The 20,173-nt window shown below is 46.3% G+C and overlaps 1 annotated feature.

Annotated features, from left to right (window-relative positions):
* Positions 1,290–1,791: an enhancer, noted in NCBI's record as "H3K4me1 hESC enhancer chr17:47135543-47136044 (GRCh37/hg19 assembly coordinates)". NCBI's record gives its function as "activates a minimal SCP1, AML or CMV promoter by ChIP-STARR-seq in primed H9 embryonic stem cells {active_cell/tissue: H9 hESC(primed)}" and the evidence as "EXISTENCE:reporter gene assay evidence [ECO:0000049][PMID:30033119]".

A 20,173-nucleotide genomic window follows, 5' to 3' on the forward strand; every position in this document is an offset into this window, starting at 1 on the left:
TAGAGATGGGGTTTCGCCATATTGGCCAGGCTGGTCTTGAACTCCTGACCTTGTGATCCGCCTGCCTTGGCCTCCTAAAGTGCTGGGATTATAGGCGTGAGCCACCGTGCCTGGCCACCTGGCTAATTTTTTTTTTTTGTGGAATGAGTTTTCGCCATGTTGGCCAGTCTGATCTCAAAACTCCTGGCCTCAAGTGATCCACCTGCCTTGGCTTCCCAAAATGCTGGGATTACAGGTGTGAGCCACCACGCCTGCCCTAAATAAATATTTTAATAACATGATTAAGATACTCTTAATTCATTAGGCCGGGCGCGGTGGCTCACGCCTGTAATCCCAGCACTTTGGGAGGCCGAGGCGGGTGGATCATGAGGTCAGGAGATCGAGACCATCCTGGCTAACAAGGTGAAACCCCGTCTCTACTAAAAATACAAAAAATTAGCCGGGCGCGGTGGCGGGCGCCTGTAGTCCCAGCTACTCGGGAGGCTGAGGCAGGAGAATGGCGTGAACCTGGGAAGCGGAGCTTGCAGTGAGCCGAGATTGCGCCACTGCAGTCCGCAGTCCGGCCTGGGCGACAGAGCGAGACTCCGTCTCAAAAAAAAAAAAAAAAAAAAAAAAAAAAAAAAAAAGATACTCTTAATTCAAATCATCAGTCCAAATATACTTCCTGCTGACTACTGAACTGATCCATTAAGATCAAGAACAAAACCCCAAAGATACTACATAACTATATTTTGAAGTTTATGGGCAGGACAATACAGTAAGATACTAAATGGAAAAAAAAGAAGTATTAATATAAAAAGCATAGTCATTATTTGCAATTAATACTGCATTTTCAGGAAGTCCAAAAAGTTAAAACTTTTTTTTTTTTTTGAGATGGAGTTTCGTTCTTTTGCAGGTGGGAGTGCAATGGCGCTATCTCGGCTCACCACAACCTCTGCCTCCTGGGTTCAAGTGATTCTGCCTCAGCCTCCCAAGTAGCTGGGATTACAGGCACCTGCCAATATGCCTAGCTAATTTTTGTATTTTTAGTAGAGACGGGGTTTCACCATGTTGGTCAGGCTGGTCTTGAACCCCTGACCTCAGGTGATCCACCCACCTCGGCCTCCCAAAGTGCTGAGATTACAGGTGTGAGCCACCGTATCCAGCCCTTAATAAACTTATAATTAATACAAGTTAGTAAAGGGGTCACTTAAATATAAATATCCTAAAGAAAAACAAGGCCAGGTGTAGTGGCTCATGCCTGTAATCCCAGCACTTTGGGAGGCCAAGGCGGGCGGATCACCTGAGGTAGGGAGTTCGAGACCAGCCTGACAAACATGGAGAAACCCCGTCTCTACTAAAAATACAAAATCAGCCAGGCGTGGTGGTGCATGCCTGTAATCCCAGCTACTCAGGAGGCTGAGGCAGGAGAATCACTTGAACTGGGAGGTGGAGGTTGCAGTGAGCTGAGATCGCACCATTGCACTCCAACTTGGGCACAAGAAGGAGAATCTGTTTCAAAAAACCAAACACACACAACAACAACAACAACAACAGTTTAAAAAGTTATAAGTGGTTTGCCGGGCGCGGTGACTCAGGCCTGTAATCCCAGCACTTTGGGAGGCTGAGGCAGGCGGATCACGAGGTCAGGAGATCCAGACCATCCTGGCTGACACGGTGAAACCCCGTCTCTGCCAAAAACAAAAAACAGCTGGGTGTAGTGGCGGGCGCCTGTAGTCCCAGCTACCTGGGAGGCTGAGGTAGGAGAATGGCATGAACCGGAGGACGGAGCTTGCAGTGAGCCAAGACTGCACCACCGCATTACAGCCTGGGCAACAGAGAGACTATGTCTCAAAAAAAGAAAAAGTTATAAGTGGGTCAGGCACAGTGGATCATGCCTGTAATCTCAGCACTTTGGGAGGCAGAGGCAGTGGGTCATCTGAGGTCAGGAGTTTGAGACCAGCCTGGCCAACATGGTGAAACCTCATCTCTACCAAAAATGCAAAAATTAGCCGGGTGTGGTGGTGTGCGCCTGTAGTCCCAGCTACTCTGGAGGCTGAGGCAGGAGAATCACTTGAACCAGGGGGGCAGAAGTTGCAGTGAGCCAAGATCAAGCCAGTGTACTCTAGCCTAGGTGACAGAGCAAGTCTCCATTAAAAAAAAAAAAAAAAAAAAAAAAAAGATTTAGAAGACCACAGCAATGAAATCTCCCAGAATAAAAACAGAGCAGAAGAGCAAAGTAATACAAAATAGAAAAGAAGACCTAAGAAATACAAAGGCTAGTTGTAGAAGTGCTAACATCCAGACGCTTGTGTTAAGAGAGAGAGAAATAGAGGGGGAAATATTAAAGAAAAACAATAGAGATTAATTTCTGAGAATTCAAAAACTTGTCAAACCTCAGATTGAAAGGGCCCATAGCTTGCCAAAGCCGACAGAGTTGGAAAATCTCACACCTACATATATTCTAGTGATATTTAAGTAGATCAAAGCCAAAGAGAAAATTCTAAGCAAATTGCTTATAAAGAAATAAGAGGCTGGGCGCGGTGGTTTACACCTGTAATCCCAGCGGGAGGCTGAGGTGGGTGTATCACAAGGTCAGGAGTTCGAGACCAGCCTGGCCAATATGGTGAAACCCCGTCTCTACTAAAAATACAAAAGCCAGGTGTGGTGGCGGGTGCCTGTAGTCCAAGCTACTCAGGAGGCAGGAGAACCGCTTGAACCGGAGAGGCAGAGGTTGCAGTGAGTTGAGATCGCGCCATTGCACTCCAGCCTGGGCAACAGAGCGAGACTCCGTCTCAAAAAAAAAAAAAAAAAAAAAAAAGAAGTAAGAATCAGGCTGAGCACGGTGGCTCACACCTGTAATCCCAGCACTTTGGGAGGGTGAGGCGGGCGGATCACGAGGTCAGGAGTTTGAGACCAGCCTGGCCAATGTGGTGAAACCCCGTCTCTACTAAAAATACAAAAATAAGCTGGGCATGGTGGTGGGCACCTGTAGTCCCAGCTACTCGGGAGGCTGAGGCAGGAGAATCGTTTGAACCCGAAAGGCAGAGGTTGCAGTGAGCTGAGATTGCGCCACTGCACTCCAGCCTGGGAGACAGAGTGAGACTCTGTCTCAAAAAAAAAAAAAAAAAAAAAAAAAAGAAATAAGAACCAGACCAGTATTATATTTTTTAACAGCAATACTAGGTACAAGAAGATATTGGAGAAGTAACGAAGTTTTAAAAATATTGAAGCACAATAACTTAAAAATCTAGATTTTTTACATCCAGCCAAACTACTTAAATATACCTGATAATAAGATCCCCAGGAATGCAAGGCTTCAGAAATTTTGTCCTGCAAGGTGTTACAAGCAAATAAGCAGTTTTGGACGAAATATTTTAAAAAGAGGTGAGACAAGACAAGACAAGGAGATACTGCAAGAGATATATGAGAGTTTGTTGTCTTAACAGAATTAACTGAGACCAAACATGAAATAAAAGTTTTATCCATTATAATGTAGAAATAAAGAGGTAAGTCTAGAAATATTAGCACCGTGAAGCTGGAGGAAGCAACCAAGGGGTGTGTGAGTGTGCTGATGATGGAGATATATAGATAGCTTTTTTTTTTTTTTTTTTTTTTTTTTTTTTTTTTTTGAGACAGTGTCTCTCTGCCGCTCGGGCTGGAGTGCAGTGGCACGATCTGGGCTCACTGCAATCTCTGCCTCCTGGGCTCAGGTGATCCTCTCATCTCAGCCTCCTTAGTAGCTGGGACTACAGGAGCGTGTCCGATTTTTTTTTTTTAAATAAGGGATTTAGAAAGCAAATGAAAAGAGGTCAGCTATTTGGAATGGAAAAGCAAGGCAGAGGGTAACAGGAGGCCTGAGATGGAACCTGGGGGTGATAGGAAGGGCACGGTGGCCAGCCTCTGGTTTTTGTTGAAATGTCACCTGAGAGCTCAGAGACACCTTCTATGACCATCAAGCGGTCTTGCAACCTCTTTCCCAAACTCAACATGCTCTCTCCCCTTTTTCAGCTTTAATTTTTCTCTACAGAAAATTCTCTAATTGGCCAGGCGTGGTGGCTCACGCCTGTAATCCCAACACTTTGGGAGGCCGAGGGGGGAGTGGATCACGAGGTCAGGAGATCGAGACCATCCTGGATAACACAGTGAAACCCCGTCTCTACTAAAAATACAAAAAAATTAGCCGGGTGTGGTGGCACGCACCTGTAGTTCCAGCTACTTGGGAGTCCAAGGCAGGAGAATTGCTTGAACCCGGGAGGTGGAGGTTGCAGTGAGCTGAGATCGTGCTACTGTACTCCAGCCTGGGTGACACAGCAAGACTCCGTCTCAAAAAAAAAAAAAAAAAAAAGAAAATTCTCTAATTTACCACTATCTGACATACTGTATACTTTCCTTATTTAATCTGTACTTCATTATATATTTATTTTACCTTTTGAATTTAAGTATAGCACACATACAGAAAAGTGCACAAATCATAAGTGAATTAATCAAGGAATTCGCAAACTGAAAATGTACCCCTATCACCAACACCCAGATGAAGAAAGAGGACATCACCAGCACCCCTGAAAGCCCCTCATGCTCATCTCTTTCCCGTCTCCACCAAAGCCACCATTCTGGCTTCTAACTTATTTGCTCTCTGCCATCCCTCTAGAATCTAACCTCCATGCAGGCAGGGATCTTTGTTCTGTTCGTTCTATTTTCTAGTAGGGGAATAACTCTGCCATGGCACCATGGCGACCTCGCATGTATTCATGCAGGCAAAGGCTCGAGACACAGCCTCCCTGAGTTTTGGCAGAATGCCTTGTGATCCTCCCAGAACACGAGGGGACTGCAGGCTTGTAAAGGGCTACTATGAGGTCATCTCCCACCTGCCTCTCTCTCCCAGAAAACTGTCATGAAACTCTTTTTCATGACTCCTGGATTCTGATTACTCAGTCTGCCCCATCCCTTCCTCAGAGTAGAGCGTAGGATACCAAACCACAGAGCTGCAGCCTCAGCTTGGCTCCTCCTCAGTAGGGTGTTCCATACTTCGTGGGACAGGATCATGGGAGCATGCCTGCTTTGGCTTTTCCTTCTTTTCACCACTGGTGTAAGTACTAACGTGTCAAATCTAAGAGTGACTCGTATCTTTTTTTTTTCTGAGATGGGTTCTTGCTCTGTCACCTAGGCTGGAGTGCAATGGCAGGATCTCGGCTCACTGCAACCTCTGCCTCCTGGGTTCAAGCAATTCTCCTGCCTCAACCTCCCAAGTAGGTGGGATTACAGGCGCCCACCACCGCGCCCGGCTAATTTTTGTATTTTTGTAGAGACGGGGTTTCACCATGTTGGCCAGGCTGGTCTTGAACTCCTGACCTCATGATCCGCCTGCCTCGGCCTCCCAAAGTGTTGGGATTACAGGCATCAACCACCGCGCCCGGCCTCATTGTATCTTTACTGGTCAAATCAGTCAGATCTTGGCCTTGCCTCATCTTGTACTCAGGAGTTTGACAAATTTGCCACCCAGTGGGGGGGACTGTAAAGTTACAGTGCCCTTAAGAGACAACTCGAAGCTGAGTGTGGTGGGTCACACCTGTAATCCCAGCTAGAGCAGGAGGATGGCTCGAGCTCAGTAGTAGAGATCTTGTCTCTACTTTATAAAATTAAAAAAATAAAAAAATATAAAAAAAGATGACTTGAGGCTTCGTGAGATAATATAAGGGGATGATTTGTGTGCCCCACTATCTGCTAGCATGGCCTTCACCTGAGTGGCAGGTGAGAAAGAAGGAGTAGGATCTTCCCACTCTCCTACTTGTTCAGGGGCTGCATGGATCCAGTTAGGGGATGGGACTTCCAGGGAGCTGGCAGCTCATGCCACCTGTTGATAAACATTGGGAGGCAGGCCAGGGTGGTGGCTCACACCTGTCATCCCCGCACTTTGAGAGGCTGAGGAGGAAGATCACTTGAGCCCAGGAGTTCAAGGCCAGTCTGGGCACCATAGTGAGACCTTGTCTCTATAAAAATTAAAAAGATTAGGCGGGGCGTGGTGGCTCACGCCTGTAATCCCAGCACTTTGGGAGGCCGAGGTAGGTGGATCACGAGGTCAGGAGATCGAGACCATCCTGGCTAACATGGTGAAACCCCGACTCTACTAAAAATACAAAAAAATTAGCCGGGCGTGGTGGTGGGCGCCTGTAGTCCCACCTACTCGGGAGGCTGAGGCAGGAGAATGGCGTGAACCCGGGAGGCGGAGCTTGCAGTGAGCCGAGATCACGCCACTGCACTCCAGCCTGGGTGACAAAGCGAGACTCCGTCTCAAAAATAAATAAATAAATAAATAAATAAATAAATAAAGAAGATTAGTTGGGCATGGCGGTGCATGGCTATAGTCCCAGCTACTCAGGAGGCTGAGGTGGGGAGGATTCCTTGAGCCCGAGGGTCAAGGCTACAGCTACCATCGTGTCACTGCACTCCAGCCTGGGTGACAGAGGGAGACTCTGTCTCAAAAAATGAAATAAAAAAATAAAATAAAATAAAATAAAATAAAACCCAAAAAATATATTGGATCCACATTGGGAGGTCCAGCGGCTAGAGGTAGGATTGGTGCCCAGGTGTTGAAAGTGAGTTGGAGGCTGAGTTAGTGGTCACTTAAAACCAAAAGTAGTGCAAAGCTGTGCTCCCTGGTGCAAATTACTCTGTGTGCTTCTAGCTACTGCATAACTCCTGCAGTACCTGTGTTAAAAGTCCTTGGTCTGTGTTTCTGTAAAAAAACTGCCTAACATATTAGGCAGAAAACTTGCAGTGAAGAGGGCAGAGAAAAGGATAAAGTGACTTTGCAAACGAGACTCCAGCCCATTCACTGTAATGAACTATTGTAAAAATGTGTCATTGCTGCTGAAATGTGTTACAAGTTTGAATTGTTTTGTTTTTTTTTTCTTTTTCCTGCCCCTTGCAGAGCAGGGCTATAGGCAGTGTGCCCAGAGTAGCTACATGTTTGGATTTTGAATGTGCATAAAGTGTTGGAAAATTCTTTTGGTGTCCAAAATTTTCACTCTATAATGATGTCTTGCTGACTAGCAAGTTAAAGTCCTCATTCTTAGTGGCCTTGGCTGCCTGCCAGTGGGAGCAACCCCGACCCAGAAGCCCCAATAAAACTCAGGACCTCCTTGCCAAGTAAAGTATTTTAAAACAATGTAGGTGGATTTACAACACTGAATTTCTCTGGCAGTCAAGGAGAAAATTCTGTCTTTTACAAAGTAAGAAACTCTATGTTCCTGATACAGAACTTGTAACTCAGCAAAAGTTGGCCAAAGAAGGCCTATTTGTCTTTCTGTAATACAGGCTTTATTAGTTTCCTAAGGTGGTTGTAACAGGTTACTACAAAATGTGTGGCTGAAAACAATAGAAGTAAACTGAGCATTAGTGGTGCCCCACAGCAACATGAAAAAGTGGCCAGTCACACTCCGATGTGGCTACCCCAGATGCCGGTCTATGTTGGCGTCTTGGGCTTCCTGGGGGCTTTGGTACACGAGGTTCCTGAAGATGCCTGGGCCTGGCTCATGGATGGATCCACTTACTTAATGAATGATGGAGTGTCCTGGACCACTACTGCTGGGCAGCCCCAAAGAAAACAGTTTCAAACAGTGCATGGGCAAGAGAATTCGGCTCAATGGGCAGAGTGGCAGGCTGTGGCACTTGTCCTTGTTAACATGACCCCACCCGGCCAATGTAGCCTGTTACCCCTACCCCCACTTCATGACCCATGTGAATGCCCCTCAGAAAGGACCCTTCAAGGATGAACATCAGTGAAATCAATGAAGTAATCAGATCTGCGCTGCCCAGGTGAGGACCATAGCTCCCTGGATACACCATCACACATGTAATTCATGTACAATTCAGGACTGGGCCCCAAAACCAGGCCTAGTGGTTCCAGCACCTGAGGCCAAGAAAGCCTGGCAAACATGCCTGAAATGCCAGCCATATAGTTGAGTGGCAAAGTGAACTTCAGAGCATATAGCTAGGGGTACCGGATCCTGTTAGTCCTGGCGATGGACTACATAGACCTCTTCGTAAGAGTACTGCTGGGCGTTGACTGCAGCAGACACTGTGTCCATACCCTATAGAGGCTGTAGCAACCTGCCACAAACTTAGAGGCTTAGAGCAACATAAATGTATTATCTTACAGTTCTGTAGTTCAGAAACACAAAATGAGTCTCTGCTGGGCTAAAATCAAGATGTTGGTAGGACTGCATTCCTTTCTGGAGGTCCTAGGAAGAAATCATTTTCTTGCCTTTTCAGATTTCTAGAGGCGGCTCACATTCCTTGGTGCCTGGTCCCCTTCTATCTCCAAAGCCAGCCGTGGTCAGTCCAGCCCTTCTTTTGTTTGTTTGTTTGTTTGTTTTGAGATGGAGTCTTGCTCTGACGCCTAGGCTAGAGTACAGTGGCATGATCTCGATCTCAGCTCACTGCAACCCTGCCCCCCAGGCTTCAGTGATTCTCCTGCCTCAGCCTCCCGAGTAGCTGGGATTACAGGTGCCCACCACCATGCCCAGCTAATTTTTATATTTTTAGTAGAGACAGGGTTTCGCCATTTGGCCAGGCTGGTCTCAAACTCCTGACCTCAAGTGATCTGCCCTCCTCAACCTCCCAAAGTGCTGGGATTACAGGCGTGAGCCACTGAGCCAGGCTGATCCAGCCTTTCTTCACTCTCTCCGATGCTGATTCTTCTGTCTCCTTCTTTCACTTATAAGAACCCTTGTGATCACATTGGGCCCAGCCAGGAAATCCAGGATAATTTCCTTGTCTCAAATTCAGCTGATTAGCAACCTTAACTACATCTATATCTCTAATGTCCCTTGCTATGTAACACAATATATTCACAGGTTCCAGGGTTTAGTACCTGGACACCTTTGGGGGTCCATTATTTTGCCTACTCTAGATATCTCTTCAGGATCTGACACTACCATATCCATCTGCACAGTAGATGAGTGCCATACTATGCAAGGACTCTTAGATGGACTGTGTTACATTTTTGATCCCTTGAACATAGCCAATCAAACAATGGTGTCATCAGAGCAAAAAGTACCCAGCAGTGAGCAGCACCTGGGACATTCACTGGACCTTTCAGGCCCCATATCGTCCCCAGGCAGCAGGTGCCATTAAAAGATGGTATGGATTCTTGAAAAAGGAAAAACTGGAATGGATGATTGGATAACCAAACTTCAGCTCCCAGCAGCACATACACTTAAGACCAACAGTTTAGGCCGGGTGTGGTGGCTCACACCTGTAATCCCAGCACTTTGGGAGGCCGAGGTGGGTGGATCACCTGAGGTCAGGAGTTCAAGACCAGCCTGGCCAACATGGTGCAACCCCATTTCTACTAAAAATACAAAAATTAGCCAGGTGTGGTGGTCCACACCTGTAATCCCAGCTACTCAGGAGGCTGAGGCAGGAGAATCGCTGGAACCTGGAAGGCAGAGATTGCAGTGAGCCGAGATTGCACCATTGCACTCCAGCCTGGGTGACAAGAGTGAAACTCCACCCCCCACCCCCCAAAAAAGACCCACAGTTTGTTTCTGAATGTGGCAGTTCCCAAAAAGATACCTCCTATCTAAATAAAATGTTGAGAAGGAGGGGACAAGGCCCAGAATGGCTGTAAGAGATTTGAAGCACACAATCCATTTTCACTCTACCTTTTCCCATCCACATCTACCCATGGGAGACTGGGCTCCTGGAATTTGCAAGTAACAAAGAAGATCTGGAGAGGGAGGTTGGCTACTCTAACCTCATGGTCCTTTTGTCGTACTCCCCTTCCCAGCTATGCTTCCTGGATTTGGGAAGCTATGAACATTGATGATAATAATCAATGAATACAAAGTGACAACTCCTAAGGTGGTCCTAGCATAGTCCTGTGTGACCAGGGTTCTCTTTCTCTATTCCCCAAGCACCCCCATGGTAGACTGAGCCACTCCCATCTTCCTCTGACTCCACTCAAATTTGATGTTGCATCCTGTCCTGGGCTGGACCAAACCTAATGGGATACAGTGGTCTAGCAATGGTATTTTCCTTTATGCAAAGCTAACTGATTTATATTAGATTAGGTTAAACCTAACAATCTTGGCCACCTGGGTGGTTCTCTGGATTCAATTAACTCAAAGGAATGCAGCCCTAATGAGGCTAAGCCAGGCAACTTGACAAAGCAGAGGGATTCAAGTGCTGTGGGCAGAGATTTGTGGGGCTAGATAGGCCTTCCTATTATTTCTAAACCCCACCAAGTGGGTCTTCTTCTGTTGCAACAAGGTATAAGGCCAGCCCCTGATAAAGTTGTAGAGAAGGCTCCCTTTGGGGTTCCCCTCGGTAAACCTAGCCCAGGGCTGAGTCATCACTCTCTTGGTAATGAGAGGCAAGGCCTCAGGTGTACAGATTTTACCACTAACCTTTCCACCTGGAAGCCTGACCCATGCTGGAATGCGAACTGATTCTAGGTTCTGCACTACTCATTCCAATTGGCTGAACCGTGTGTCTATCTTTTCCTGACCAAGGCACAGACTACGTCTGTCCCACCCCGAAGGGAGAATGCAGGATAAGAGGGGCTCCACAGCAGAGTCCTGGCATCTCAGCAGTGGCAGGGGCAGACACGGCAGGGGGGTTTGAACAGATGCTCTTGCAGGAGGCTGGGAAGAACCAGGAGGTCGCAAATTCCCAGCAGCGATAGTTACCAGGGCAGGGTAAATCTACCTATGCCATCAAGGGCAAAGTTGAGCCTCAGAAAGGAAAAAGAATGCAATACAGCAGATTTCAGGGGAGTTGGGGTTGAGAGACAAACAAGAAAACTGGTCAAAGCTGGAACCCAGAGCATTTTTTTTTGTTTTGTTTTTTTAGACAGAATTTTGCGTTTCACTCTTTCTGCCCAGGCCGGAGTGCAGTGACGCAATCTCGGCTCACTGCAACCTCCGCCTCTGGGTTCAAGTGATTCTCCTGCCTCAGCCTCCTGAGTAGCTGGGATTACAGGAGCGTACCACCAAGCGTAGCTAAGTTTATATTTTTAGTAGAGATGGGGTTTCACCATGTTGGCCAGGCTGGTCTCAAACTGCTGACCTCAAGTGATCCACCTCTCTTGGCCTCCCAAAGTGTTGGGATTAGAGGCTTAAGCCACTGCACCTGGCTGAGCTCTTTTTCCTAACCCAGAGAAGTCAGGAAAGAGAGGGGACTCAGAATGGCTTATTTATTTATTTTGAGACAGAGTTGTGTTATCTCGCCCGGGCTGGAGTACAGTGGTGCAATCCTAGGTCCTTGCAGCCTCGAACTCCTGGGCTCAGGCTATCCTACCATCTCAGCCTCCTGAGTAGCGGGGACTACAGGCTTGTGCCACCATGTCCGCTTACTTAAAAAAAATTGTTTGTAGAGATGGGTCTCACTATGTTGACCAGACTGCTCTTGAACTCCTGGGCTCAAGTGACCTTCCCGCTTCAGCCTCCCAAAGTGCTGGGATTACAGGCATGAGCCACCGTGCCTGGCCGTTGGAATGGCTTTAGATACTACTTTTACCCTCCAGGAATCATGGCCTTGCTCAGAGGATCCTTGTTTTCTGGATATCACCTGGGGGTGAAATTATACCTCCTTAAGCAAACACCTACTTATCTGCCTTTTCTTCCCCCGCCCCCCTTGCTCAGATGGCTTTTGTGGCTGGTTTGCTACTTGTCTGAAGCCAAAATTCTAACCCAGTTCCAAGCCATCACTTGAAATGAGGTTCCAGAAACTCTCCAAACAGCTGTCTGCTGTGCACTAAGGATGGGCTGGAGGGGGAAGCCTCTGACAAGAGCATTTAGTTAAATACTAAGCCCCCTAGCCTGTGAGAGCATCTGCAGGCTTCTCCTAAGCCAGAGCCCAGGCCATGCCCAAGGGGATAGGCCCCTCACGGGGAGGAGAGAAGTTTTCTGGTTGTAATGTTTCTTTTTCTTTTTGTTTTTTTTCTGAGACAGAGTCTCGCTCCGCTCTGTCGCCCAGGCTGGAGTGCAGTGGTGCGACCTCAGCTCCCTGCAAGCTCCACCTCCCGGGTTCACGCCATTCTCCTGCCTCAGCCTCCTGAGTAGCTGGGACTACAGGCGCCCGCCACCACGCCAGGCTAATTTTTTGTCACGCCACCGTGACTGGCTGGTTGTAATGTTTCAACAGAACAGAGTGAAACGTTCTGAGGGAGAATTGGCTGGTGGTGTTACCCCCAGGATGGGGGAGAACAGAGAAGGTCTATGATGACTCAGAATGGCTTATTTGTTTATTTTGAGAAAGGGTTTTGTTCTGTCACCAGGGCTGGAGTACAGTGGTGCAATCCTAGCTCACTGTGGCCTTGAACTCCTGGGCTCAAATTATTCTCCTGCTTCTGCCTCCCTAGTAGCTGGGACTACAGGTTTGTGCCACCATGCCCATCCAATTAAAAAAAAAAATTCACCGGGCATGGTGGATCATGCCTGTAATCCTAGCACCTTGGGAGGCTGAGGCGGGTGGATCACGAGGTCAGGAGTTCGAGACCAGCCTGGCCAACATAGTGAAACCCCCATCTCTACTAAAATTACAAAAAGTTAGCGGCATCTGTGGTGGGCATCTGTGGCAGGCATCTGTAATCCTAGCTACTTGGGATGCTGAGGCAGGAGAATAGCTTGAAATCGGAAGGCAGAGATTGTAATGAGCTGAGATCATGCCACTGCACTCCAGCCTGGGTGACAGTGTGAGACTCCGTCTCAAAAAAAAAAAAAAGAATTAATAGAGTTGGGGTCTCACTATGTTGACCAGGCTGGTCTTAAACTCCTGGGCCTCTCATGGGGAAGAGAGAAAAAGTTTTCTGGTTGTAATGTTCCAGTAGAACAGGGTGAAACCTTCTGAGGGAGAGTCAGAGCTGGTGATGTTGCCCTTAGGATGGGGGAAAACAGAGAAGGCCTATGATGACTCCATCCTTGACATTGGGGTTTGAGGGTTGAGAGTGGGTCCCATAACCAGCACCAGGCAGGTTCCTGGGGAACTACTGAGCTTAGATAATGATACTCTGTTTCCAGCTCCATTTTTCCCCTTTTCTGGTTCTGGATGAAATTGACAACTGTCTAATTCTCCTCCACTTGGATTCCTGGAGTCCAAAGCAGTTCTGTGAGACCCCTAGGTTTGGGCTTGATCTTGCTCCTTCATATTACAGCTGGCTTCCTGCCTAACTCTGCACTAACCTGGGTTTGCAATTACTCAGACTTTCCCTGGGCAGAATGTAGGAGTCATACAGGAAAATGGCTGTTCACTTTACAAGATACAGATATTAATACTGAAGTCCCAGAATTGTTTTGACAATTAGGAAAACAAACACCACTCACACCTGTAATCCCAGCACTTTGGGAGTCCAAGGCGGGTGGATCACCTGAGGTCAAGAGTTCGATACCAGCCTGGCCAACGTGGTGAAACCCCGTCTCTACAAAAATACACAAAAATTAGCTGGGCATGGTGGTGGATGCCTGTAATCCCAGCTACTCAGGAGGCTGAGGCAGGAGAATCGCTTGAACCCGGGAGGCAGAGGTTGCCTTGAGCCAAGATCACACCATTGCACTCCAGCCTGGGCAACAGAGCAAGACTCCGTCTCAAAAAAAAAAAAAAGAAAAAAAGAAAAGAGAAGAAAAAAGAAAACAAACAACCATACTTAATGCTAAGATGTCATCAATTGTAAGATGCAGCATGCAGCATTATTTTATACATCATCATGAAAGGAAAATGTTGTCCTCACTGATTCTCTCTCTCTCTCTCTTATCTTTTTTTTAGACAGCAAGTCTTGCTCTGTTGTCCAGGCTGGAATGCAGTGGTATGATCTTGGCTCACTGCAGCCTTGACCTTCTGGGCTCAAGCAATCCTCCCACCTCAGCCTCCTGAATAGGTGGGACTATAGGCATGCGACACCATGCCCAGGTAGTTTTTAAAATAAATTTTTTTTTTTTAGATGGAGTCTCACTCTGTCTCCCAGGCTGGGGTGCAGTGGCTCAATCTTGGCTCACCACAATCTGTGCATCCCAGGTTCAAGCGATTCTCCTGTCTCAGCCTCCCCAGTAGCTGGGATTACAGGTGTGTGCCACCACACCCAGTTAATTTTTTTTGTTGTTGTTGTATTTTTAGCAGAGACAAGGTTTCGCCATATTGGCCAGGCTGGTCTCCAACTCCTGACCTCAAGTGACCCACCCACCTTGGCCTCCAAAGTGCTGGGATTACAGGCATGAGCCATAGTGCCTGGACTAAAACACATTTTGTAGAGACAGAGTCCCACTATGTTGCCCAGGCTGGTCTTGAACCCCTGGGATCAAGTGATCCTCCTGCTTCAGCCTCTCAAAGAGCTGGGATTACAGGAGTGAGCCACCGTGCCCAGCTCATAGTTTTTATATATTCTGAGTTGAGCAACTATCACCAAGATCTAATTTTAGAACAGTTGCATTCTCCCCTCCTCAAAGAAATCCTATTAGTGGTCACTTCCTTTTCCTCCCTTCCCTTGATCCCTAGCAACAACTAACCTACTTTCTTTTTTTCCTTTCCTTTTCTTTTTTCTTTCTCTTCTGATACCCTTGGTAATTAATCTACTTTCTGTCTCTCTGTATAGATTTACCTATCTTGGACATTTCATATAAATGGAATCATAATGTAAGTGGCTTTTTATGACTAGCTTCTTTCATTTAGCATAATGTTTTCAAGGTTCATTCTTGTTATAGATATATCAGCTTCTCATTTCATTACCAAATAATATTTCATTGTATGGATATACCACATATTGTGTGTTCATTTATCAGTTGATGGATATTTTAGGGTTGTTTCCATTTGTTGGCTACTATAAATGATGCTGCTATAAACATTCCTGTACCAGTTTTTGCATGGACATATATTTTTGTTTCTGTGGGTATACACCTATGCATGGAATTGCTGGGTTATATGGTAGCTCTATGTTTAACTTTCTGAAGAACGGACAAAATGTTTTGCAAAGTAGTGGTACCATTTTACTTTCCTACCAGCAATGCGTGAGGTTTCAATTTCTGCACATTCTCATCAACACTTATTTACGTCTGTCTTTTTTTTTTTTTTTTTTTTTTTGAGACGGAGTCTCGCACTGTCACCCAGGCTGGAGTGCAGTGGCGTGAACTTGGCTCACTGCAAGCTCTGCCTCCTGGGTTCATGCCATTCTCCTGCCTCAGCCTCTCGATTAGCTGGGACTACAGGTGCCCCCCACCATGCCTGGCTAATTTTTTGTACTTTTAGTAGAGACGGGGTTTCACCGTGTTAGCCAGGATGGTCTCGATCTCCTGACCTCATGATCCACCTGCCTTGGCCTCCCAAAGTCCTGGGATTCCAGGCGTGAGCCACTGCACCCGGCCCTGTCTTTTTGATTGTAGCCATCCTAGTGAGTGTGGAGTGGTACCTCATTTTGCTTTGATTTGCATTTCTCTGATGGCTCATGATGGGGAGAATTTTGCCATTGCTTCCAGTCACTTAGACATTTTATTTTATTGAAAGAGCCTTTTTAGATTTATTTAGACATTGTTTTATCCGTTATATGTTACTCTTATGCATACGTAACAATGAAAATACATGCAACTTTTCACCTAATGCTTTTATTGATTGATTGATTGATTGAGACAGTTTCCCTCTGTCACCCAGGCTGGAGTGCAGTGACACCATCTCAGCTTACTGCAACCTCACCTCCTGGGTTCAAGTGATTCTCCTGCCTCAACCTCCCGAGTAACTGGGATTATAGGCACCTGCCACCATGCTTGGCTAATTTTTGTATTTGTAGTAGAGACAGGGTTTCACTATGTTGACCAGGCTGGTCTCAAACTCCTGACCTCAAGTGATCCGCCCACCTCAGCCTCTCAAAGTGCTGGGATTATGGGCGTGAACCACTGTGCCTGGCCTGTTTATTTATTTTAATTAAAACATTAAAAATTATTTTGTAGAGTCAGGGGTCTCCTTATGTTGGCCAAGTGGGTCTTGAATTCCTGGCCTCAAGCAATCCTCCTGCCTCAGCCTCCCAAAGTGCTGAGGTTACAGGCATTAGCCACCCTGTCCACTCATCAGTAGCTGCTTTTTTTTTTTCTTTTTTTTTTTTGAGGTGGAGTCTCACTCTTGTCACCCAGTCTGGAGTGCAGTGGTGCAATCTCGGCTCACTGCAACCTCTGCCTCCCAGGTTCAAGTGATTCTCCTGCCTCAGCCTCCCGAGTAACTGGGATTACAGGTGCCTGCCACCACACTTGGCTAATTTTTGTATTTTTATTAGAGATGGGGTTTCACCATGTTGGCCAGGCTAGTCTCAAACTCCTGATCTCAGGTGATCCTCCCACTTCAGCCTCCCAAAGTGCTGGGATTACAGGTGTGACGTAAGCCACCTCGCACGGCTAGCAGCTGCTTTTAATCACTGCCTAGATTCATTATTTCATTAGAGAATGCAATATTGTGATATTCTAATTCCACCATTCCTTCTTTATTTGTGGATGTATTTATTTATTTTTAGAGATGAGGTCTTACTATGTTGTCCAGGCTGGACTCAAACTCTTGGGTGCAGGGGATCCTTCCACCTCAGCCTCCTGAGTAGTTAGGACTACAGGTGTGCACCAGCATGTTTGGTTTCTTCTTTATTAGCGGGAATATTTTTTTTTCTTTTTTGTATTAGCAGAAGTATTTCTATAATAAAAACTTTTCCTGGCCGGGCACAGTGGCTCATGCCTGTAATCCTAGTGCTTTGGGAGGCCAAGGCAGGAGGATCACTTGGGGCCTGGAGTTTGAGAGCAGCCTGGGCAACACAGTAAGACCTTGTCTCTACAGAAAGCTTTTAAAAATTATCCACGTGTGGTGGCACATGCCTATAGTCCTAGCTACTTGGGAGGTGGAGAGGGGAGGATCCCTTGAGCCCAGGAGTTGGGGGGTGCAGTGAGCTATGACTGCACCGCTGCACTCCAGACTGGGTGACAGAGCAAAACCCTGTCTCTAAAACACACACACACACACACACATGCACATGCACACATGCACCCCTTTTCCTCACTGATAAATAGTTTGGATATACCCTTCAAATCTCATGTTGAAATGAAATCCTTACTGTTGCAGGTGGGGCTATTGGAAGGTGTTTGGATCATGGGGGCGTATCTCTCATGAATGGTTTAGCGCCATCCCATTGGTGCTCCTGAGTAGCTGGCATTACAGGTGTGCGCCACCACGCCCAGCTAATTTTTGTATTTTTAGTAGAGATGGGGTTTTGTCATATCGGCCAGGCTGGTCTCGAACTCCTGACCTCAGGTGATCCACCCACCTTGGCCTTCCAAAGTGCTGAGACTACAGGCATGAGCTGCCGTTCCCGGCCTGAATTAAGCTGAGTGTGTTAGCCATAATACTAAAAAAATCCTTTAAAATCTCTTATTGCCCAACTTTAGCCATACCAAATGGCCAATATTTCTGGCTTTTTGAACTTTACCAAAGGTAACCTCCCAGGTGCTCAGAGAAAAAAAAATTCAAGACAGTTTATGGAGGGGAAGAGAATCAACAAATGGTCAAGGTCGTGCAGATATTAAGCCAGAAAAGACTCATTCCTTAAGCCAGGAATTGAACCCCGGATGCCATTGTGAAAAGAGAAAGCTGTAGCTACTGAGCTACAGCACTGGGCAGTCTCCACTGCTCTTCCCACAAGGATCCTAGAGGCAGCCAATTTTGAGCTTGCAATGGCTTTTAAATGCTCAAGACAAGTTTTAGGGGTAACTGTGACATGAAACCCAAAATTCCTGTCTTCCGAATGGTGAAGACCAAGAGAAAGTATTGCCACATGGTTACAAGGTCAAGCTCCCAAAGACATAAAACAAGATGGAGTCCTCATCCAGTTTTTTGTTTTGTTTTTTAATTTCAGGGACCTGCAGCAAAGTTTGTTACTGGCCAGTTTGCTGGGCTGGCTTGGGGTACTAAGCCCATGTTCTATCCTAAAGTACTCCTCTTTATGACCGAATGATACAGAAAGATATATTTATAGCACAAAGTATACCAGATTTGCTATGGCTTAAGACCAGCCTCAAAAATCCTTTTTCCCATTAATTAAAACTTTACAGAGGAGATAAACAGTGATTTTGACCATTCATTCAACAAGTTTGCATAGCAAGAGAGAGACCAAAAGCCTGACTGGTAGGAAATTCTTACCCTTTGGGCACATGCCAGGCATCTGGGTTCCCTTTCCCTGAGCAGTTCCCTGCTCGCCACACCATAGCCCTGGAGGCCAAGCCACAACACAAAAGAAAATCATCTTTTTCTGTTTCATGGAACCATAGGCAAAATCCTCTCAATTTTGTAAGATGCTGCCCAAGAGATTACATGGGGTAACCAAATTAACATTTTCCATTCTGGACAGAGCAAAATGCATGTGATAAAACATAGATATTAGCCACTCCACTTAGCATGCGATATCGACCTGGCAAGTCTCAAACTTACCCCTGGTTGGGCCCTGTCAACTTTAATCCATTCAGGGTTGGGTGGAATGATCTTCTGACCAGGAGATTTAACATGTGGTCTCTGGGCAAGATAAAAAAGCAGAGAGCTGCCCTGAGTAACAGAAAAGATAGGAAAGAGAAAGGGAGAAAAACATTACCTGTGGCAGGGTGGTTGGCAGGGTGGGGAAGGCAAGGAGCTCAGGGAGGCCAGAGAAAGACCTACCCATTGCAGCCACACTGAATAAAAGTTCAGGCAGCTACTTGACAGTAGTGAAGGGATCTTTTCCAGCAGTCCCATCGGCTCTCAAGTTTCCCCCTTTAGGGAGAAAAAAGCTCTCCATGTCCAGTGATCCTGTACTTGCCTAATCCTGTCACTCATAGCCATTAGCAAACAGCGCAAGATAGAGTAATCCAAAGAGATTAATGGTTAACATTCCATAATGCCAAATCCTTTTTTTTTTTTTTTTTTTTTTGAGATGGAGTCTTGCTTTGTCACCAGTCTGGGGTGCAGTGGCGTGATATCGGCTCACTGCAACCTCTACCTTCCGGGTTCAAGCAATTCTCCTGCCTCAGCCTCCCGAGTAGCTGGGACTACAGGCGTGAGCCACCACATCCAGCTAATTTTTTGTATTTTTAGTAGAGACAGGGTTTCACCATGTTGGCCAGGATGATCTCGATCTCTTGACCTGGTGATCCACCTGCCTCAGCCTCCCAAACTGCTGGGATTACAGGTGTGAGCCACCGTGCCTGGCTGCCAAATCCATTTTTAACCAAGAGGGACTTTGCTGAAAGGGGCCTCTAACCCCCTAAATCTTAGGAAGGACTCTAACCTTCCTAAGTTGGGCTTCAAACCCAAGTTTGGTCAAGCATCCTTGCCTTATTATTAAGAGGGACCTTCACCCTCTCTGTTTTAGGAAGGACTCTAACCCAATACCATTCTTTACCTGGGTAAAATGTATCCCACCACTCACCCAAGGTCGGCCAATTGGTGCTGCAGTCTATTCCCTTTGGGTCGGGGGTCTCCTCATTATAGTGCCTTTGTGATTCCACAGGAAGATGTTATCGGAAAGGGATCCTGATCCAGACCCCAAGAGAGAGTTCTTGGATCTTGTGCAAGAAAGAATTTGGGGCAAGTCCATAGAGTAAAATGAAAGAAAGTTTATTAAGAAAGTAAAGGAATAGGCTGGTCTGCCTATGGAGTAGCCAGTCTTTATTCCTTTACTTTCTTAATAAACTTGCTTTCACTTAAAAAAAAAAAAAGCAAGTAAAGGAATAAAGAATAGCCACTCCATAGGCAGAGCAGCAGCTTGGGCTGCTTGACTGATAATACTTATAGTTACTTTTTGATTATATGCTAAACAAGGGGCAGATTATTCATGAGTTTTCCAGGAGAGAGGTGGACAGTTCCTGGAACTGAGGGTTCCTCCCTCTTTTAGACCATATAGGGTAACTTCCTGATGTTGCCATGGCATCTGTAAACTGTCATGGCACTGGTGGGAGTGTCTTTTAGCATGCTAATACATTATAATTAGTGTATAATGAGCAATGAAGACAACCAAAAGTCACTTTTGTTGCCATCTTGGTTTCGGCTGGCTTTTTTACTGCATCCTGTTTTATCAGCAATGTCTTCGTGACCTGTTCCTTGTGCTGACCTCCTACCTCATCCTGTGACTAAGAATGCCCTAACCTCCTGGGAATGCAACCCAGTCGGTCTCAGCCTTATTTTACCCAGCACTTATTCAAGATGGAGT

The sequence above is a fragment of the Homo sapiens genome, chromosome 17, assembly GCF_000001405.40.
Source record: "Homo sapiens chromosome 17, GRCh38.p14 Primary Assembly".
Taxonomy (NCBI): Eukaryota; Metazoa; Chordata; class Mammalia; order Primates; family Hominidae; genus Homo; species Homo sapiens.